At 40.1% G+C, this 23,224-nt stretch overlaps 1 protein-coding gene and 1 long non-coding RNA gene across 11 annotated transcripts in view; one reads left to right on the top strand and one right to left on the bottom strand.

Moving 5' to 3' along the window:
• Positions 1–23,224, top strand: part of FHIT (fragile histidine triad diadenosine triphosphatase) — a 1,504,176-nt gene that overhangs the window by 1,349,248 nt on the left and 131,704 nt on the right. The window contains exon 6 of one of the 8 annotated variants that reach the window (NR_135491.2): positions 15,918–15,985. The exons of the other annotated variants lie outside the window; for them this stretch is intronic. The gene's annotated coding sequence lies outside the window, so the exon portion shown is untranslated. The remainder of the gene's footprint in view (positions 1–15,917; positions 15,986–23,224) is intronic. 8 annotated transcript variants of the gene reach the window in all.
• Positions 1–23,224, bottom strand: part of LOC105377113 (uncharacterized) — a 70,563-nt gene that overhangs the window by 19,392 nt on the left and 27,947 nt on the right. For all 3 annotated transcript variants that reach the window (XR_007095936.1, XR_940887.4, XR_007095937.1), the window contains exon 3: positions 1–23,224. This exon is cut by the window's left edge and continues 19,392 nt beyond it. This is a non-coding gene — a long non-coding RNA (uncharacterized LOC105377113).

Below are 23,224 nucleotides of genomic sequence, written 5' to 3'. Positions count from 1 at the left end.
TCACATTTTTTATAAACCTGTTGGCTATTTGTATGTCCCCTTCGGAAAAATATCCATGCGGGTCCGTTGCTCATTTTTTAATTGGGTTATTTTACAGGGGAGGGTACTATTGAGTTGAATGGGTTTCTTATGTATTTTGGAATTTAATCCCCTGTCTGATATATGGTTTCCAAATATGCTCTCCCATTTTGTAAATTGTCTCTTCACTATGTTGCTTGTTTTCTTTGCTCTTCACAAACTTCTTTTTATTGCTAAATAATATTCCATTGTATGGCTAGGCCATATTTTACTTATCTGTTCATCATTTGATAGACAGTTGAGTTGTTTCTACTTTTTGCTTCTTATGAATAATCGTTCTGTGAATGCTGCTGTTAATATTACAAGTGTTTGTGTGGATATATGTTTTCATTTCTCTAGGGTATATAACTAGGAATAGAATTTCTGGGTCATAAGGTAACCCTATGTTTAATTTTTGAAGGTACTTCCAGACCATTTTCAAAGCAGCGTTGCCATTTTACATTCTTACCAATAGTGTAAGAAGATTCTAGTTTCTTCATACCTTCACTAGTACTTGTTATTTTGTAACTTTTTATTATAGTCATCCGAATAAGCAATAAGCATGAAGTGGTATCTCATTGTCCTTTTGTTTGGGTGAGGCATCCCTGATAGCTAATATTGAGCATCTTCCCACATGCCCCTTGGTCATTTGTATAGCTTCTTTGGAGGAATGTCTATTCAGATTCTGTGCCCATATAAGTTGGATTTTTTGTGTTTTTATTATTGAGTTGGAAGAGGAATTTTCCATGTTTAACTCGTAATCCTCATGATACCTCTCCCGAGATTGGCATACTTACCTTTGTCTTGCAGGTGAAGCAATTCAAGTTCAGATTATTCACTCATTTACCCAAGGTCCCACAGGTAGGAAGGATCAACTAAAGCTGAAATTTTAAAACCTAGAATCTTTCCAAATACCTTTTCCACTCTCATATTCTTCACTATTTCACTCAGAAAGTCAAACAGTGAAGAGTAAACATGACACTAAGACATGTTAGAATATTAAAGTTCAGACAATAGTTTAGAAATGAGCAGACTTAATCCTGTGAAGGAAAACAGGATTAAATGAGAACAGAAACAAAAGCATAAAGACAATGGGAGGTTACGTTAACAGACAAAACAGTAAGAAAACTTTTGCTTCTCTGCATCCTGTTGGTCATACACTTGGAAGAAATATAAACAACCCCAAGGTTATCATATCAAAGAAGGACTGCATAGATTTTAAACAGTGTGGCCTGGCCGGGCGCAGTGGCTCACGTCTGTAATCCCAGAACTTTGGGAGGCTGAGGCAGGTGGGTCCTTTGAGGTCAGGAGTTCGAGACCAGCTTGGCCAACATGGTGAAACCCCGTCTATACCAAAAATACAAAAAGTAGCCAAGCATGGTGGTGGGTGCCTGTAATCACAGTTACTCAGGAGGCTGACGTAGGAGAATTGCTTCAACCTGGGAGGCGGAGCTTGCAGTGAGCTGAGATCGCACCACTGCACTCCAGCCTGGGCAACAGAGTGAAACTCCATCTCAAAAAAAACAAACAACAACCAAACATATGTGGCCTACAACAGGAGCCACCCCGTCTTGGGATATACACATGGTAATGAGACATGGGGGATTCAAGTGCAAGGAGATAGCTCAGTGTGAAGTGGCACCAGGGATGGCATCTAGGGGAGTCAAAGCAGGCACAAGGGAAGGAGAGGTATTTAGTTTTGTCTGTATCAATTTAAGCATCTTTGTTTGGCAACTTCTTGGATATTGTAGGCCTATCATCTGTGGACTTTGATTTAGTCAGAGGAGCCAATACATCACGTGGTTGAAGGCCATGTAGCCTCACCTGTTCTGCGGACAGGCCTGCACAACTGCTGGGAGGAACCATTCATGGGAAAGAGAGGCTCACTCTCCTCATGCCCTGTGGGGTGAGTCTGGGGCTGGAGCCACCAAGAAAGTCTGTTGCTTAAGTCATTCTTGCTGTCCAGGCCTTTACCTCAGAGGACTGTGGCTACCAGAGTGGGGAATCCAACAGGCTGCTTCATGCTTTGCCCCTGGTGATTGTGCCGGATGACTGTGAAGAGCCTCTGCTCTGCCTCCATGGTGCCTAGCACAGGGGTTGTGGGCAAACGATACCTGTGGGCCCTGGCCTAGTTTTGTAAGTAAAGTTTTACTGGAACATGGCCATACTCATTTGTTTACCTATGGCCGGCAAAGCCTAAAATATTTAGTATCTGGACCTTTATAGAAAACGTTTGCCAACTCCTGGCCTGGCAGAGTGCTAGGCCTGCAATAGCTGATTCTTTTTTTTGTTTTTGTTTTTTGAGAAGGAGACTTGCTTTCTCACCCAGGCTGGAGTGCAGTGGCACCATCATGGCTCACTGCAACCTCCGCCTCCCGGGTTCAAGCAGTTCTCCTGCCTCAGCCTCCTGAGTAGCTGGGACTACAGGCGTATGCTGCCATACCCAGCTAATTTTTTTTTTGTTTTTTTGTATTTTAGTACAGACGGGGTTTCGCCATATTGCCCAGGCTGGTCTCGAACTCCTGAGCTCAGGCAATCCGTCCGCCTCGGCCTCCCAAACTGCTAGGATTATAGGTGTGAGCCACTGCGCCTGGCCTACAATAGCTGATTCTTAAACCTTCCATTGACTTGCATCCTTTCAATATCACCTAACTGGCACGAAGCTAGGCAAGCCTCATGGAGCCAAATTTGTATTAGTTCCACAAAGACATGCTCTCCCTAGATGAGGGCTCCTTGAGGGTGGGTGCTAGCAAAAGCCACAAGGCCATTATTTACCTTAAGAGAGTTCAGTCCTTTCCATGCCTCCCTACTCCAGATGTGTCAGCCTTTGTCCAGCCATTCTCTGCCTGCTCAGATGAGATCATTTTCCATTTGTGAAAAGTGTCTGAGAAGTTCAGTGTTTGACCTACATCATCTCATGTGCCCGCATGTGACCCTGGAGGTAATGTCAGCTCTTATTTCTGAAGTCCATTGTGAGTGGAGGAGCAAAATGCAGAAAGGTTATGTCAGTTGCCCAAGGTCCCACTTTGTCTTGTGCTCTGGGTCTAAATCCAGGCTGGGAGGAACATGGAGGAGTGAAGAGGGATGTCGCCTTGTAATGAAGAGATGGCAGTGAGGACTCTGATGGTGGGCAGACTAGGGGAAGACCTTTCTGTTTGTTTTCAGCTTGCCCCTTAGCATCTCACTATCCTCATTGATAAAATGAAGCTAAGGCTGTTTTCTAGGTCATGGAGGAGGATTCTATCTGACAATGTCTATTAATTGCCTAGTATAATACCTGGCATGTCATGTTCAATAAATACTACCAGCCATTATTATTGTTGTTTTTGCAGCTATTATTGTCACTGTTGTTATTTTACTAATGTCGGTGAGAAATCAATGTCTGAACTTGAAATTTCTGTCTCTTCATTCATTGTCTGGTGTTGTAAGGTCACATGGCTGCAGGAGAAAGACAGAGACCATAAATGACAACAGTGGACTAAAAGTACCAAAAAAAGAAGAAAAAAAAAGATTCTGTAGAGGATATTTATTATCTAAATGATGCAGCTGCTTGTTACATTCTAGTTCATTGTTGCCAAGCCCAAATATGGGACTAAAATTGCCAGATCTAATATTTGTTTCAAGAAATGTTGGAAATCTGTTTTTAACATTGGTAAGCAGTGTCTACCAAATACACACACACACACACACACACACACACACACAAACATACACACGCACACATATATACAAATATGGTGAAATACTATCAAATCTGAAGGTCATACATATTGACTGCCCCTTATCTGAAATGCTTGGGCCTAGAAGTGGTTCAGTTGTCAGATTTTTTTTGGATTGGGAAATATTTGCGTATACATAGTGAGATATCTTGGGAATGGGACCCAAGTCTAAACACAAAATTTGTTTATGTCTTATATGGACCTCGTACAAATAGCCTGAAGATAATTGTATGTAATATTTTAAATAACTTTGTCCATGAAACAGAGTTTTAACTGCATTTTTACTGTGACCCATCATAACACTACATGTGGAATTTTCCAGTTGTGGCATCATGTCGGTGCTCAAAAAGTTTCAGATTTTGGGCTGGGCACCGTGGCTGATGCCTGTAATCCCAGCACTTTGGGAGGCCAAGGCGGGCAGATCACAAGTTCAGGAGATCGAGACCATCCTGGCTAACACGGCGAAACCCCGTCTCTACTAAAAAATACAAAAAATTAGCCAGGCGTGGTGGCGGGTGCCTGTAGTCCCAGCTACTCGGGAGGCTGAGGCAGGAGAATGGCGTGAACCCGGGAGGCGGAGCTTGCAGTGAGCCGAGATCGCGCCACTGCACTCCAGCCTGGGCAACAGGGTGAGATTCCCTCTCAAAAAAAAAAAAGAAAAAAAAAGTTTCAGATTTTGGAGCATTTGGAGCATTTCAGATTTTCAGATTAGGGATGCTCAAGCTATATCTGGTTTGCAGCTTCTTATATAAATGGAGTAAACCTTCCCCTGGGAAGAACTTTTCTGGTAAGCTGTGCTTATATTTGTTCATGTCTAAAGATGGCTTCATTATTTCACTTGAGCATCCAACAAGTATTTATCAAATAATTCTCATGTGCCAAGCACGGAACTGAGTATTTAGAGATGAGTCAGGCAGAGTCTGTCCCCTTGAGAGATTCTTGATGTAGTTGGAAGGACCAACATACCATAAAATGATTGTAATAGAATGTGATAAATGGTTATCATTAAAGCCATGAAACCTGCTATTTAGGGAACAGGAAGAGGAAGGGGATTCTGGAGGAAGAGACATTTGAATTGGGTCTTGAAGGACGAGCAGGAGTTTGCAGACTATAGGGAGGGTGTCTAGAGCTGTGCTGTGCAATTTGGCAGCCTGTGGCTAAATTTAAGTTAATTAACATTAAATGCTTTGCAAAATTCAGTTTCTCGATACAGAAGCAATAGACAGTGCAGAATTAGATCATTTCCATCATTGCAGAAAGTTCTTTTAGACTCAGCTGTGGTGTAAATAAGGACACAGATACCCCAAGACTATATAAACTTTAGAACCCTGCAAGTTTTGGGGATGTTGTTGGAGTGATAAGAACTGCAGTTGGAAAGGTGGGTGGGAGGCAGACCAAGAGGAACTGCATGTGCTAATTCAGCATGGTTTGTCACAGCCTCTGACTTTGCTTGACTCTACATGCTACCATCAACTCACCCTCCCAATCGTTGCTAACATGTTTCTGGCTTCTTTCCTTGTTGCATTCAGATATATCACGTGGTCCAAAAAAAGCAACATTACACTTGCGTTATGTTCCAGATTTCGTCAGTAATGTCATACTCGTATTCTTGCCTCTGATACTGCTTGTGAATATTAAATACCTTAATTATTTTCTTTCACAGTAATAAAAATTATAAAAGGAAAACACACTTAAATTTATTTTCATGCCATGCTGGTCCACACTGCTGAACCATATTTGGAAACTTACAAAATCATTGCTATGGTTATGTATTAAGAATTAGTAAAATTATTTCATTATACTTTCATTATTTCATTGTCTCTTTGCTTGTAACAGATTTAAAAATATAGGATGAACTTTAATTTAGTACTCATAAAGAGAACGAGGGAGATTTATACTAACAAACTGTTAATTTAATTTCTGAGTTACTCTTGGTGCTAGATGAACACTAACTACCCTCTATTATTCTGATTTTCAGTCTTATGTTGAATTGATCGCAGTTAAATAAAGGATGCTATTTGGAGTTTAATTTGAAAATTCTAGGCAACTCTTTTGTAAGTGACAGTTAACACATATTTTCTTTTAGATGAGTTCTTTTTTCTCTGACTAGTTCATGTATATGAACTGTTTATTTCATCGATTTATTCCTCAGTTATCTATTCATTCAACAGATGTGTATTGACTTCTTACATTGTGCCAGGCACTGTGCTTGCTTGGGACACAGCAGAGAACAAAACAGTCAGGTTCTCTGTTTTCATGAAGCTGACACTCCAGTCTGGGAGGGATGCCAGTGTACAAGCGTAAATGAGCAAATAAAGCTCTCAGATTGTGCCTCATAATCTAAAGACAAGAAAACTTGTCTGACTACACAGGTGAAGATTCTGTGCAGTCAAAAAATTTCTCTGACGAGTTGACTTTAAACCACTTCCTGAATTATGTGAAAGTGCCAGCCATGTAAGGATCTAGATGAAGAGCATTCCCAGGCCAGTGCAGAGGCTCTGAGAAGCAAAGGAATTGGACAATTTGGTTAAATAGGAAGATGACCGCTATGATTGTAGTGCAGAGTTGAGCAGGTGCCAGACTTTGTAAGATGTTTTAAGCCCCCGTGAGGATGTTAGCAAGTTTTAAACACAAGAGGGATGTAATCTGATTAACGCCTTTAACAGGACATATGGTTATTGCTCTGTGGAGAATGGAAGTTAGAGGTCAAGAGCAAAAGCAAAGTGACTCATTAGAGATGTTGATGATGGTGGCTTAGGCTTCATGGAAGGAGAGAAGCAAGTGGATTCTAGAAATATGTTGGTGCTGGTCAAGTTGACGTAACTTATTGTTAGGTTCTGGATGTGGCATCAGTTACTTCTCTAGGGAAGATAGGGAATGAAGGAAGTGGGACAGATTTATTGGAAGTGTCTGATGTGCTAGATGCCCAAATAAGCAAAGTCATGTTCTGATATGTCTTCTCTGTTCACCTTGCTTTCTGACTTTAATATTGAAGAAATATTTGCTCTGCTGTGAAGAAAAATGGTAGCTGACCTGCATTAATATCTGCTATTATAGTGCATTCACTCCACAAAAATTAATATAGCCCCTGCTAAGTACTGGGAACTGTGCTAGGCACTGAAGATACAATGATTCCTACTTACCTGGAGCCTCCAGTATAGTGAGGAAAACATTTAGCAATGAGTCCACACTGCTCTGTGTTCCGTGCTAATCCAGGATTTCTCAGTCTTGGCACTACTGACATTTTGTACCCGAAGATTCAGAGTTTGGGGAGTGAGAGTATGCATAGTGAGATGTTTTGTAGCATTCAGGCTTCTACCCACTAGATGCCAGAAACACCTCCCACCCAGTTGTGACAACCAAAAATGTCTCCAGACATTGTCAAATGTCCCCTGTGGGACAAAATTGTCACCAGTTGAGAACCCCTGCCCTAATTCCAGCCCCTGATGTCTGATGACAGTGTAGCCAAGTTCTGAAGTCTGTTCTCATCACCTGCCAGGTTTGAAAGTGTTTCCTTTCCTGTTAGTGGTAGAGCCAAACTTTCAATATGTGAAAGCAGCTGGTAGCACTTGGGATGAAACCAAGGTTTCCTTTTGATGCTTTATTCACTTTGGTTAGAAGTAGGATTGCATGTTATTAGCAGTCTGGGAAGTTTGGAGAAGTCCAAGTGATTGTTTTAAGTCAAGAATGTACCAAATTGATCACTTTGCAATGCCCTGAAAATATGAATCATTGAAAGACTTTTTGATCTTTCACGGTCCAAACATACTACAGAACCACCATCGCAACACATCACATCTTGGTGGTAGAGTCTATCCAGTTCACTGATTCAATCATATAAAGAACTGTGTAGATTTGACTTGTCCCACTCCACCACTGCTTGTAAGTTTTACACTTGAGTTGAGGAGCAGATTCTGAAACACAGATAGCCTGATGGGCAAAAGACAAGCCACAACTCTACTCTGCAATGCCAATTAGCAACAATGGCAATTAGTCCTCCTGGTTATGATGCTAATGTTTATGAAGTGTAAATTATGTGCTAGACATTGTGAAAGTTGCCTTAATTTATTTAATGTTCATAATAACCTCATAAGGTTATGTTGTTATGCTGGTAAGGAATAGGGCCAGGATTCAAACATCCATATGTATTTAGAATCTATGATCATTTTGTTTGTTTGTTTTTTGAGAAAGGGTCTCACTTTGTTGCCCAGGCTGGAGTACAGTGGTATGATCATGGCTCACTGCAGCCTTGACGTTACTGGGCTGAGGTGATCCTCTTACCACAGCCTCCCAAATAATTAGGACTACAGGCGTGCACCACCACACCAGGCTATTTTTTGTAGAGGCAGGGTTTCGCCATGTTGCCCAGGCTGGTCTAAAGTGATCTGCCTGCCTTGGCCGCCCAAAGTGCTGGTATTTTACAGGCATGAGCCACTGCTCCCTGCTGGAATCCATGTTCTTAATCTCTATGCCAAACTGCTAATTTCCCATGCTGCTGTTTTCCACTGAGTTTAAATATGGCCTCGGACTCCTCAACAAGAGCTACTGCTAGTTGATCAGAGAGGCATTTGAGATGAAAACTCTTTGCCCATCAATACCTAATGTTTCTTCCTAGTCAAGTATTAGGCACTGAATTCCTCTGAGGCGGATCATGGGGCTGCTGTGGACGCATAGGAGTTAATATCACGTAAATCTGAAAGCAAGGGGGAAAATGGTTGAACTATATCTCATAAGTAACTTTTCAGGCTCCCCTGAACTTTAATCAGTGGAAATGGTATTGTCCAGCTGCTTTGTTTTATTTTCCTTTTTCCTTTTACAAAGGCAGTTAGAACACACTTCCTACAAAAATGCTGTTCAGCGCACTTATAATGTTGCCATATTGCTGGTCCCAGACTTTCACCCTTGGGGACATTCTCCTATTTCTCCATTAATGGGAGATGCTTTTGAGGATCAGTTCTAGGGATCTTTTTTCCATATTAGAGCATATAAATCCAGTTTAGTTTACTGCACCAATCAGTTCATGTTATATTCTTTTCTTCTTGTTTGGAAAGAGCCATGTACAGTAGTCTAAAACCTGAAAGCTGAAGGGAGATGCATTTCCCTCTTATTCCTGCCATCTTGCTCCTTATTGAACTACTGGTAGATGGGGCCTGGGATGCAACACCAGTTGACACCTTGAAGCTGGGATTGGTTCTCTGTGCTACTAATGAATAGGCTACAGAAACAATTTGCTATGTTTCCCTTTGGATGTCCTATAAGCATCAAATAAAACAAGTGGACCAATGCCAAACTTTAGTCAGGTGAAATGTTCGGTCCAAATGTTGCAGCATAAAGATAATAATATTGTTCACTGACCAACACAACTGACTACATATTTATGAGTTTTTTAGATATAGTTTTAAAATATAGTGTGTTAACTTTGACTGTGTCTATGAGTAATTCAGCTTTTTAAATATGGCACTTAAAATTCTAATTTAAAGTAAGTTTAAATATTTCCTATCTTTTTTGTATAAAGTATGAAAACGCTTTTCAAGGATCAGTGTTTTCAGGCTGCCCAAATATGACCAAAGAGCATGTTCTTTGATTTGCTGTTGGGCAATATTTTTATAATTGATGGGTGGGTGGTTCATTTTGAACCAAGTCTTCACTTTGCTCTGGGTTTCGTCTTTAGCAATTTCCCATCCCCATCTAAATTATATTTTTATGACATACAACATTAATTAAGATTGTTTTTCCTTTAAGAGGTGATTAAACATATCCCCCACCATTGGTAATAGCCTGATTCCATATAGCTTCACAGCACTCACTGAGGAATACTACTTTGTAATCTTGTTTCTCGTGTTCTGGCTTAATTTTCCAGCTCTTAACTCTGGCTAAATAGATTCTACCCCCTAACCTCTATAACACTAAGCCTCAGGAAAGTGATCACTTTAAATTTACAGTTGTTAAATAGATTGTTAATGACCAAAATAATTTATCAATCTTGGCTGGCAGGCATTATATTTAAAAAAGCAGACGACTAATCACCAAATGCTTTGTTGATGGTTATTTTCATCACACTGACTGCCCTCCTTGGCATGGAAAGCCATTAGGCAGGAGAGATAGGAGACAAGCCATTGTGGCAAAGTGGTGCTGATGCTGGGAACTGGACTCCTGAGCGCAATTTGTCAGTTTGCTTAGGAGGTTCAAAGCTCGCTTTGTTGTGCTCAAACTTTACTGCCTGTTTGACCAGCTATGTCCCTCCCGATGATGTAAAAATCTGCTAGTTTCTCCTTTTGTTGTTGTTCAACTTGTATGATATAGGGTCACTATTTAGACAGAGCCTTTAGGTAAGTCAAGGATCTCAGAAGGTATGGACTTGGCTAAATTGAGTTATAGATGGACTATTATTTTACATCAAATCATTGTCGAATGGCATCTGTAGCTTTTAAGTTTACTTTCATCTTTTTGTTTTTAGTTTGGAGACAACGCAGTTTCATCATGTCTGCTTTCTAACGTCTCTTTAAATTCAGAAGTCCCCTAAGAGGCAGCTCTTCAGGAAAAATCTAAACAGAAATCTCAGAGTGCATGTGGATTCCTTGTTCCCCAGAGTCTTCCCTGCAAGGATCCTTTAAATGGATCACTCCTCATGGTCATGTAAAATGATTTTACTTACAAGACATCCAGGAATATCCAATTTTTAAGAACCCATATGTTTTATAAAGCAAGGGCACACCTAGCCCTATGTGAATGCCCATCGAAGAGATGACTCCTATGTATGCCTGCTGCTGGGAGACACAAAGGCCCACTCCAGACCTACCGTCAGCAAGGTTCAGAATATAGGCACAGTGGCTTCCTGGTGTGAAGAAATTGGCTAAGGTTTGCCTCCTCTATCATGGAACTCTTAAATTTTTGTCCTGTTGGTTCATCTGTGATGTCGGGGGGATGACTGGCTTAGAACGGCCATGCCCTGCACATTTGCAGCCTCAGTCCTTCTCAGGTTGCTTACCCATCTGTCCTCTTCTACCCAGCAATGGGAATTCTTCTCACTGGAGCCCCGCTTAGCAGCCTGTGTCTTTACCAATCTTCCTTTTCCCTTCATGCAGAATAAACCACTCCCTTTTCCATATCATGCTTTTCCTGGTTTGTGGTTAGTTGTCCATGGTAGCCTCCTTGAGGGAAGAGGCCACGCCTTCCTCATATTTTGTGTCCTTGGTTCCTGATATTTTGCCCGCCAGAGTTGGCAACTGACCCCAGCTGGACAACTGGAAGGATTGATCAACTATTTTTAAACCATAGCTTTTCAGGTCTTAGGAAAGTGTGTAAGTCCTTGGAGGGGCTGGAACATATCCCACCAATTTGGGAACCTACCCTTGAGGAGTACATAACCCTTATTCTGACCTTACGTTGCATAAATGCTGAGTGCATGCTTGTGTAATTAAATCAAAATTGATAGCAGCCACCTAATGCAGTGTGCTGATTAACTTAGGGCCATCTCTTCTCAAAGTGTGTGCTCTTTGTTCTTCAGAATGATAACAGATTATGAGAGCCAGTGTTGGGGGGGAGAAATGAAGGAAATTCTATGGCAAGTAACATTGAAAAATGCTCAGCTAAGCAAAATTAAATACTGTTCTTTATTGAAGAACTTCTTTGACCTTAGCATTGTACGTGAAACTAACGGAAGAGAGATAATAAGCAGCATTTCCAAAGTACTTTGAACTATGATATTTTTATTATAATTTCTCTCTCTCTTTTGAGCAGCTTTTTGGTAATAGTGTTTCAAAGATCATACTTGGGAAACGCTGATTTAAGACTGCTAAGATGCATAAGCTGGTTTGGCTGATTTCAGAGTAATAAAAGGCAATAGTTAAGCGGGTTCCCATTTTGCATATGAATTAACATAAGCATTGGGAATGTAACAGATGAACTTCAGAACTTCCCCAACAGGAAATGAACCGAGGCAGCACAGAGTGTTCAGGAACCCTAAACCCAGCCTTTCCTTGAAGCCCTCAGTAAGGCAGGAACCAGAAGTTTCACGGGCAGCCCTTTTCTTTTCCAGTGTTTGGCCCTCTAGGCAATCTGAAAAAGAGTCCCAGATTGATGCTCAGTCCGTATTTATGGCCATTCTAACATGAGGAATGTAGAAAATGGAGAACCAGCTATGGACACCACCAAGAACGCAGATCTAATTCCCACCATGGAGTCCCCACAGGGCAATAATCTGCTTAGATCAAAAGAGGCCTCCAGAGCCCTGCAGGCTTTATCCTCTCAAAGAAGTTAATTTCGTACTTGGAAATAATGAAATTACTGATAGATCAGGCTGGAATCTCTGATAGTTAATATCATCCCATCTCTATATCCTATGACAGTGCTGTTAACTTGTTGTAATGTGATATTTTGAGCACTGCTTAGATATTATTTTTTAATGACGTCTTCATTGAAGGCCTAAAGCTTTGCCTAAGATTCTAAGGAAAGTTTTCACATGAAAGAGAGAGATAATATTAAACAGACACTAATAAGTCCTCTGAAGAAAATTCATTACAATATCATTCGCAAAAGAAAAGAAGGAAGAAAAGAACAATACCCTTTTCCAGCCAATGTATGTTCTCTCATTAGGATTTTACATTTATTACTGTACTGTTGCTGCAGATTTTTCTTATGTGTGTGCTTATGAACCCATGAAGAATTAGTGTCTTCTTAATGAGCACCAAAGACTGTATTTATTAAAAATTCTTTGACCTTACGTAAAAAAGAAACCATTTATTAGCAATTATGTCTTAGGATTAGAAAGTATTATCTTTTGAAGCATTCCAACCACGTTGTAGTGTCTTCTCCTACTTGAGCTTTCAGGATCTCTTTGAGGGATCCTCCTCTCTGTTATAAGGAGGGTAAGTTTTTCTCAAGAATGCAAATCACTTGGCCATGGTTGCCTAGTGAGTCAGAGACCATGCTAAGGGTCTCACCTTCATGATGTAATTTGAGGGTATGGGGAGGCTTCATTTATCTGAGGATAGTTTTCCTAATGGCCTGTGGTACGTGTGCTAGAATTATGATTAGAGATTCATGACTTGTCCTTTTAGGAATCCAGTTAAGAAGGCAAATTTGGGAGAGGTGGCCCCTATTATCACCAGAACCTTTGAAACAATTGGGACTGGATGGATGTCAGACAGTATGAATTAGAAAGGCTGGACTGCCTCTTGATGCCTGGTGTCTAGTCCCATTTTTATTGGTCAGTGCCCAAGCATTGTTGAATATCTTTGAATATCATCCCAGGTTAGTAGGGAAAAATTAAGACAAAGGGTATTACTGAGAATAGGATGGTGCTCTGGTTTGAATGTGTTTCCAAAGTTTATGTGTTAGAAACGTAATCCCCAGAACAACAGTATTGACAGATGGGAACTTGAAGAGGTGATTAGGTTATGAGGGCCCTGCTGTCATGAATGAATTGATGTTGTTATCATGGGAGTAGGTTTCTTGTAAACACTAGCTCAGCCCTTCTCACCCTCTCTTCTGGCTATGTGATGCCTTTCACCATGTTATGACATAGCAAGAAGGCCCTCACTGGATGCAGCTTGCCCCTTGATCTGGGACTTCCCAGCCTCCAGAACCATGAGCCAAATAAATTTCTGTTTATTATAAATCTTCCAGTCTCAGGTATTCTGTTAAAGCAGCAAAAGCAGACTAAGACAGATGAGAAACACAAAGCCAAACTCTGAGTCTTTCTAAAGGTCATGTTGGACAAGCCATATCACTGGTGGTATGGAGACTAGGACCCAGTCATAGCCCTGTGATATTTACCTAGATCCCTCAAAGAAAATCAATAAATATAGACCATTTCCTTTCTGATATAGAGCTAATGTTTAAAAGAGAAGGGTCTTGATTTTTTCCCATATATTTCACTGTACAGTGAAGAGAATATATACCAGTGAATAATATATGGTCCTTATTATAATGTTGGAAATAAAATGAATACAATTGTGCTTATTGTATAGTTCACTTGCATCATTGCTTTGCCTTCAATTTGGGCCTTTTAGCTGTTGTCAGATAAAAGGCTACAAGGAATTTGTCTAGTTTCAGTATCACATGCAATGTAGATACACTTTTCTCCTTATTAGAACAAAATTTAGAGTATTTTTTAAAAGATGGTTCTCTATATAAGCTATGCATGACTACTTTTAAAATTATAGATCACAGTTAACATAGAATACAGAGCCACTTGGCCAAGCTAGGTGAGTACAGTGAATGTCCAAGCCTGAATTATTGGGTATGAATTTGTTAAGAGACAACTTGTTAAAGAAAGCATACTCCTTCCTTTCTTCTTTCAGAGTGCCCCGATGGCAACAGAATCCTTGAAATCCTCAGGGAACAAATTGGGGATAAAAGTTAGAAAGTACACCCGTCTTATTTTCCAAGCTCTGAGCAGACCCAAGAAAAAAGACTGAATTTAATCAAAAAAGATTTTATTGATGAAGGTATCTCTCCTTCAGGCTAAACTTTGGCCCCTGCATGCTAATAAAACCCTCTCATTTCTCAGAAGTAGCTTTCTGCATAAAATCCAGGGAGAGACCATGGACAGGAATACATCTTGGAGAAAGGGAATTGAAGACGATCAATCAGAAGTTGGCAAGGTCTCCCGCTGTCCCTTGCTGAGTTAGGAGGCACTTGCCTCTCTCTGGGCTGGCTGATTTTTAATTCTTGGGCAGTCACCTGAATGCCTTTGGATTCTTGAGAAAGTGTAGGATGTGCTGCTGGATGCAACTGCTTCTCTCAGCTGATGCTGGCTGAGCTCTGGGCAATTGCACCCTGGTATTTTACTTCTATGTTATCTGCACACGTGGTACTTTTACTGCCCAGATATGAAGATGAGCAATCTGGAGCTTCAAGTTTTTATGACTGCTAATTAGTACCCTGTTTGTGCCCTTTTAATCTGTTATTATAATAGGATGGCATGACATGCAGTTTTTTCTTGGCTCTCTGACTGCTGCAGCCAGAGGGGGCTGTATTTGCACTTTCTCATTACCTGTGCGCTTAAAGAATATTAATAAAGATGAGTTTAAAAGGGCAATGTTCTGAAACTTTCTAGTCCTCACCACAAATGTGGAATTTAGATCCTGTTCTTCCCCAGGCTTTTGGCCCAAAGATGGTGCTCAGACTCCAGCGAACAGAGATGGGCCATGGGAAAGATTCCACTGCTACTGTTCTTGCTCTGGTTCGTTTTTAATATGAGATAGGAAGAGATGGGGGATCTGCGAGGCTATGTCACTTGATAAAGTCAAAAGTGAATTAGGCTGAAGTTCAAATTCTGGGTCTTTGGCTTATTATCTAGGAATCCCTGCACAATTGCTTTTCTTTCCATGTTGTTACTTTCCCCCTTCCAAGCCTCCCTGCTCCATACACACTTAGCCAACCAGCCAGCCAAAGTTATTTACTGACTGCTTAGGTACTCACTTCTTTGAGTGCCACAGGAATGCAAATTCCATGAGGTCAGGGGCCACATTTGTCTGGTTCTCTGGTAGCCCTGCAGCACCATTTCTGACAAATAGTTGGTTCTCAATAAATGAATGTCTAATAGACAAAAAAGACTTAATTTCTTGTCCTGTAAACAAGTATCAGAAAACTGTCTCACTGGACTGCGGAAATAATTGACTAGTAATTGCTGTGGTTTGGATGTTTGTGCCCTCCTAACCTCATGTTGAAATTTCATCCCCAATATTGGAAGTGGGGCCTCATGGGAAGTGTTTGGGTGATGAGGGTAGATCCATCATGAATAGATTAATGACCTCTCTGTTGGTGAGTTACTCCCTACTCTGTTAGTTCCCATGAAAGCTGGTTGTTAAAAAGAGTGTGGTGCCTCTTCCCTTCTCTCTTGCTTCCTCGCTCCCCATGTGATCTCTGCACACACAGCCCCCCTTCACCCTTGCCATGAGTGGAAGCAGCCAGAGGCCCTCACCAGAAGCCAAGGCCAATACCAGGCTTCTCGTACAGCCTGCAGAACTATAAGCCAGATAAACCTTCTTCTCTTCTTGAATTACCCAGCCTCAGGTATTTCTTTATGGTGACAACTAAACAGACTGAGACAGTAACATAATACCTGCACAGTGTCTAGTAAATAGTTGGTCCTAATTCAGTGGGAGTGAAGTTTGTTCTTTCCTCTGACTGTAGGAGCTGGGATGCTCAGGTGAAATGTGGCCTCAGGCTCACCTGGGAATGAGCGAGTGAAGTTAGGAGAGGTAAGAATGAACACTGCCTTTTTCCAGACTGTCACATATGATAGGAATGTGGAGGTCCTTGCTTCTGTCATTCTCTTCATTTGGTAGAAATTGTTCTGTAACCACAGAGCCACAGGAAGCCACTGCGATGCTATGATATTCAGAGGTCCAGAAAGCTGCCTTAGATTCTGCATATCAGAGCTTGCCCAATGGAATGGTGTTCCCCAAATGTGTCTTTTGCCTTGATCCCATAACCCTCCTATCCTTGCAAGGGATTGCCTGGCATTAGCTTCTCTTAGGGCCAGAGTTCTGAACATTTCAAGAAAAACTAGCAAATGTGCTCTTGGTTGAGGCCTGCCTGCCTGCTAGTTTTACTCACCCTGAGTATGTGCGAGTTCATATAAGTCACTATGGGAAACCTGGCACGTGCTTGCAATTCCCAGTATAAAGCTGATTTCTTTTGGAAAATGAAAGCAGCGCTCATGTCCTTTATACATGCCTTGAGGCTTACATGGAAAGAAGTCAGAGGAAAAAACCCACCTGTTGGTGACACCCCAGGCACATGTATTTCAGGGACTGAAAAAAAGCAGCATTCAAAGTAGCAGAGCTTTGCAAGGATGATGCAGTTAGGATGTGAAGCTGGCTCTTGAAAAGTGGATGATCAAACAGAGCACTGTACTCTACTAAACCGAAATCCAATAGGCTGCAGTTGCTGATGTTCTCATTCCATCATGAATTCTCAGAATAGCTTGGACCAAATCAAATCAGAGACATCAATCGTTAAAAAAAAAAAAAAAAAGCATCAGGTAGCATGTACTTTCTAGAAGCCCTTTAGGGCTGTTTCTGAGGGCATTTTTGTTCCTGCGGTCACTGTATCCTTCAGACTATCTTCAGTGGAGAGGACACATGGCAGCCCCCCGTGCTCAATGCTGCTTCCTGTTTCTTCAGCAATATTTTCAGTGTCTGAAGATGAGGTTGAACCATGATGAAGCTGTGATCTCCAGTGGCTGAGCCCAATGCTCATCCTGTTTCCTCTTCTGAACATATATAGAAAATGGACTTTGTGTGCTACCAAATGATCCTAATAGCAAACTGATGAGCTTTCTTTTGCGCCATAAGGGTGATAATAAAAGGAAGGATTTGAAAATATCTTTATTTGAACACATTTTTAAAAATTAGCAAATCTGTTTTGGCACTCCATTTTTGTTTTGCTTTATTTTGTTTTGGTGAATTTTTCTTACTGCTCTCTGAAATGTAAAACCACAGGAATAGTTGACTTAAGTTCATTTTTGTCCTTGAAATTAAATGTTACAGTTATAAACTATTTGGATACAATCAAATATTGTACAGAATCTTTTAACATTATTGAGACATACAGAGTGCATATTGTCCCAAGGATCTCACATTAATGACCTTTCAGTTTAATACTATCCTGCTATATACCCTGTAACTACTTCTCAGCAGCTCATTGGCAACTGACAAGGTGTTGACTTCTCCCATTCTATCCTGCCTGCTAAAAGTGGATTTTCCTACTGTCCCATAGCGTGACTCCCCTACCTACCCTCAAAATATGAGAAAGAGCTTTCAAATCTGTCACCATCTGGTAGCCTTGCTTTTGGGGAAGTAGCTGGTGTAGCTTGGCATTATAGCCAAATAAATAACTTTAGAGATAGGAAATGGTTTTACGGAACTTCAACAATGACACAATAAATGTCTTAGCCTCTAGTTTCCAACCATAATAAAGTTGTCCCTAGAAAAGTTGAGTGGTCAGTTTTTGCTGAGATACACAATAAAGTATATCTTTATTGTGTTGATATCCAGTGGTGTGCTGGTAAATATTAACAACTGGTTTTTGTGTATGCATGTGTGTGTATGTATGTGTGTATATATAAAAACATATATCCACATACCCTCATACATCTGACTGCTTATTATAAATTTTACTGATATAAAATGTGCACCACACAATTTGTGAGTAATCATAAAATATACACCAATCTTTATCATAGATTCTATATAGCCAATTTGATTCTCACAGAATGCTTTTGTTAATGTTTGTTGAATTCCTGTAATCACAGTCAACTTATGATTGTGATTCAGCCATGATTTGAAAATTCAGATAAGGAATAAATGCTTGGTTACTACCCAATTAAGCAAAGTTGCTCATGTCACTGACAAAACAGGTGTGCTTCAGACATGAATATTGGTTGACATTTTTGTTTACATAAACAAGACAAAAGTGAAGCCTAAGAATATATGTCAAAACTTTACTCATTTGTCAATCATATGAGTGACATTTTTGCCAAATCAGATAATAGATATAGAACACTAAAGGGTATTTTCTTAATTTTTTGTACTATTCACCATGTAACAGCTATTGACACAATATGCTTTTAAGCTTTGTCTCCATAATCATTATTTTCCCCCATCACTTTCTTAAATCTAGATAGCCAAGAAAACAGTTAATCTGTAGTGTTTCCAGTTTCCAGTTCATATGGCTGAATTGAAGCTACAAACCTGATGTCACTGCACAGACTTGGAAAGAGACGTGCGGTAGCACACTACTGAGAGTATTTCCACCACAAGATACAATAGACGTTGATATGGTTTGGCTGTGTCCCCACCCAAATCTCATGTTGAATAGTAGCTCCCATGATTCTCATGTGTTGTGAGACGGACCCTGTAAGAGATAATTGAATCATGGGGGCAGTTTCCCCCATACCATTCTCGTCGTAGTGAATAAGTCTCCTGAAATCTGATGGTTTTATAAGGGGAAAACCCTTGCACTTCGTTCTCATTCTCTCTTGCCTGCCACCACATAAAACATGCCTTTCACCTTCTACCATGATTGTGAGGCCTCCACAGCCACATGGAACTGTAAGTCCATTAAATCTCTTTTTCTTTTTAAAGTACCCAGTCTCAGGTGTGTCTTTATCAGCAGCATGAAAACAGACTAATACAGATGTATATAACCTAAGAGCATAGACAATAGTAAAATGTAGTGACATTATGAGGAATTACAGAGTTTTTAATATTTTCTTCCCTTTGTTTTTAATATTTATTACTTTCAAATTACACAATTTAATTTTTAATGGCTTTTTAAGCTACCAGCTTACAAAATTTCTGAAAATTATACAAACAGCTCTTGTGATCTGGTACAAACCAGCTCTCACACATCACTGCTTATATCCTCCTTATATGGGTCCTGAAATAAGCAGGAGACCCGGAAAATTTGGAAAGAATGGAGGTTTGCTGACCTAGTAAGGACACTGCCAAGAAAATAATTTCCACTGAACATTCTCATTTTCCTCCTCCGAACAGCATAGTCATGGCCAAAGTCATTTTAGCTTTGCCTTTTATCAGCTTAAGAAACTGTAGATCAGCTTTAGGCTTATGTGTTCAACACTAAGGAACATGCCATGTTTCTTCAGTGACAAAGGCAAAACCAAGGCTGATATAGGAAAGCAGGACCAATGGACCAAGGTGTTAGGTGTCATATGTTTTTGGGAGCAGCACCATTTGCCAGGGCATCTGTCTTCTTCCTCACAGTGTACTTCAGTTTTCTACATGTTCCTCCTACCAATATGAAGTTATTTGAAACTCTTAACCCCTCTGTACCTCCACCTACTTTCCTTGCCAGACTTCTCCTTAAAACATTTGCTTTGTAGGGATGTGAAAGTTATCTCTTTGATTGAGATAATGTAATTAAAGGGAAACTTGATTTCCTTGCCAAGTCTGGATTTCTCTACCGAGTTACCACCTCAGGGATTTCTAAAACTCAATTACAGTCTGCTCTGCTTGTTAGTGAAAACAAGGTGCTATAACGATCTCTCTTCCTGATAATCTGTTTTCTGCATTTAAATATTGTTAATATTTTTTTTCCTTAATCCAGCTAATTGAAGATGTGAGGGTGTTTCAATAGTATGATTCCTGAAATTTGTTTCATAAACGATATTAACTTTATACTTCCAAACATGTTAAAGTGTGAATATGTTTTAAATGTTTTGTTTTCCATATCTAAATGTATTTTAAGACTTTTACATTTTGCATTTCCTACCAGCAGTGTGTTTTATACTGAATGCAGGCATTTCAAAAGACTCCTATTTTGAGCATGTCTGTGCCTGAAAGTATGCAATGCTAATTTGAACAGTAAGCAATGTAAACACCTCATATTTAAAAATTGGTTGAAAATGAGAAAAAGTACTATTTTAGTGAAAAAGAAAGTAAGAAATAAAAAGTTCTTCATGTGAATAATTCCAAAGCACCTCATGGTAAATTTTTTTCTCCTGTCCCATATTGCTATTATTTAGTAACAGAAAGCTTGCCTCATCTAATTTATTGGAGAGAAAACTGGCACATTATTGTCTACCAGAAATGATATGGGGACAGGTTTATCTTATTTCAATTTGCATTTAATTAATGAGTTACACCATATATTAATCAAAGCAAATATCTTTAGACCATAACCAGGCAAAGATCTTTAAACTCTAATATTCTATCCTAATGTTTTTAGCCTCTTCTTGTATTAAACTTAATTGTATTTTTTATTTGTCTGAAGAAAAAAATGGTTATATGCAAAGGAAGTGAGGGTGATTTGAAGTCTTCATAGAGCCAGTTTTTTACACTGGAGTTTGTGGTTGATAGATTTGTTTTGTTTTGGGAGGTCCTTCAACCTGTAGAAATTATATGTGAACATTTATGTGTATGTGCATTTTCCTCAGGGTTCTATTAGAATCTAACAGGGGGCTTGTGATGCTCTGAAGTTTGAAAATGACTGCCTTATAGGAATAGTGAAGCCCACTTTCCACACTAAAATGATTTTTAGTAATGAGCTATTGCCCGTACCCCCTTCCTTTGTGTCTCTTAAAAGACATTTTTATTCACAAATTCTAATCAAAGGGTAAATAATCAAATATGTTTAAAAAAGATCCAAATACTTGGCCAGTGTAGCAAAAATCATACATATGGTTATCAGCTTGTAATGGGTTGGAACCTGGCCTCTCTAGAAGCAGGTATCTATAGCCAGGTGGTCTTACTATCATTTTGTCCCTACTGTGTGGCCTACTGGAAGCATTCAGTTGCATGATTAGGGGATAGATGAAAAGAGAATTGTTGAGACGTGGCACCAAAGGTACAGCGTCATTGCCCATAACATATGTTTATACATCAAACATGTTTGTTGCTTTAGGGAATACATCCATTAATCTATTTTTTTTTCTTTCACTTTCAAGTGCTGTTGAGATGTCAAAGGAACAATAGCACTGCTATTCCAAGTGCCCTCAAATTGGAAGTGACTGTATTTATTGGCATTGCTCAAAGAGGCTTAAAGACCAATACCCATTCATTCCATGTAGTCTGAGAATATGGAATTAGAAGGAGCACAATACTGTTTTGGCTAATGGTAAAATAAAAACCTGGAATGATGAAGGTGACTCATTGATCTAACGTCTATAATCATGAATTAATTCACTTTATGTCTGAATTACCTCTGTTCTTGCTCTTATAAAAACAGCAGCTGATTGATGGATTCCTGTATGCCTGATACTATCTCAGGCTCTTTACATTGATAAAGTGATTTAGTCTTCAAAACGCTGTCATTTATAGGCATTGCTATTCTCTCTGTTTTACAAATGAGGGACCTGAGGCACATAGAAATTGAGTGCTTGCACAGTGGGACACAGGTACTTAGTTGTGGCACTAGATTCAAGGCTAGTCAGTCCTGTATCCCAGAGCCCAGGATTGGGACTGTGCTTAATCCCTACTAGAGAAGAGAAAGTGCTAGAAGCCTGGAAATTACAGTGGTCCAGACAGACATGGTTCTTTCTGCTATCGATGAAGCTGATAGAGACCAAAGGGGTGGTAGTAGAGGCTACTTTGAAACCGAAGGGCAAGGCAGGTTCCTTGGGGAAGATTTAAGCTGGATGAAGGGAAGGAGCCAGGGAGGAGAGAGATCCCTGAGAGAGAGAGAAGAGCAGGCACAAGGTCTTGGGGAGGGAAGGCGCTTGGAGTATTCTACAAACAGCAGAAGCAGGAATGGCCAAAGACAAACGAGCAGAGGGGACAGGCAGGAGACCAACTGTGGCTATGTGAGACTTCTTAACCTTAAAACCTAAAGGGATGTCGTTATGAGGCAGCTTCTTGGCAGTTTGATGCCATGCTTCTTTGTCCCTGTGATCTGAAGCCATGATCTTCTTGCAGAAGTTTTCTATCTTGTGTTCTGTCTTTGATTACCTCCTATTTCCATATGGACTTCTCCTCTTCTCTCTTGGTTCCTTTGGATGTGGCACTTGGCCACGTTGCTAAGGGGCGGGGGGGGGGGGGTGGGGGAAATGATTGGTTAAACCATTGAATTAAAGGCTCAGAAATAATGTGGCCCAAAGAGTCTTAAAGAACATAAAAGTATTGGAGGAGAGTTCATTAAACCAATAACTGAGCCAGAGTCTTCATTCATGTTATATGAGGAACCCTCCACTATTTAGCTGTTTGTGGACCCAGCAATTGCTGTGATTATCCCATCATTGCCAGTGTCCAATATAATGTTTGTATCCAGACTGTGTTATTAACTTTATTTTTCATTTATTCGACCCTACGTAATGTTAGGTCATTTGTGTTTTGTTTGGGGCTGTGTGGGTTTTTTTTGGAGCAGTCCGGTTTTGTCATAACATGCATCACATAGTTAAGATTTCATATCTTTGCTTCATCTACCCCATTATGGAAAATGGCAGTTGATTAGGGTTTTCTTTAGATCATTATCAATTGTTTTCTATCTTGCAGATAGTGCTGTTAGGACACATCTATCATACCCCAGAGATCCTATATAGCTCGTTATTTCTGAGTGATTTATTACCTTACTGTGGAAATGTAGTTAGTGAACGTTGGGGAAGCAGGGGCTGTATTGAGAAATATCAATGTATCCTCATGTTCTGGCTTGCAGTGACAGTCAGAGATCCATCTCACTGACAGTTACCTTGTTAACATTTTGATCAGATGGCAAATTTGTCATTTTTCATGATAACAAGTATAAGTTTGCACAAGAACCACAGAGAGATGAGAAAGATAAAACAGCCCTCATTTAGTTTTTCTGTGTGATGTAATCAGTAATCTCTGGGAGAAGTGAAATAATTACTGTGTGAGAAGCTCATCCACTGGAAAATGTGTTTGTTGTAGAAAGCTCAGATTTTTCTTCATTTGGATAGAATGTGCCCTTTCTTCTTCTTCTTTTTTTTTTCCTTTGCTGACAGTTTGATTAACACACCAAGC

This window comes from Homo sapiens, chromosome 3 (genome assembly GCF_000001405.40).
Source record: "Homo sapiens chromosome 3, GRCh38.p14 Primary Assembly".
NCBI classification, from domain to species: domain Eukaryota; kingdom Metazoa; phylum Chordata; class Mammalia; order Primates; family Hominidae; genus Homo; species Homo sapiens.
Note: the sequence above shows the minus strand (reverse complement) of the source record. Positions and strands in the feature narration are given on the sequence as shown.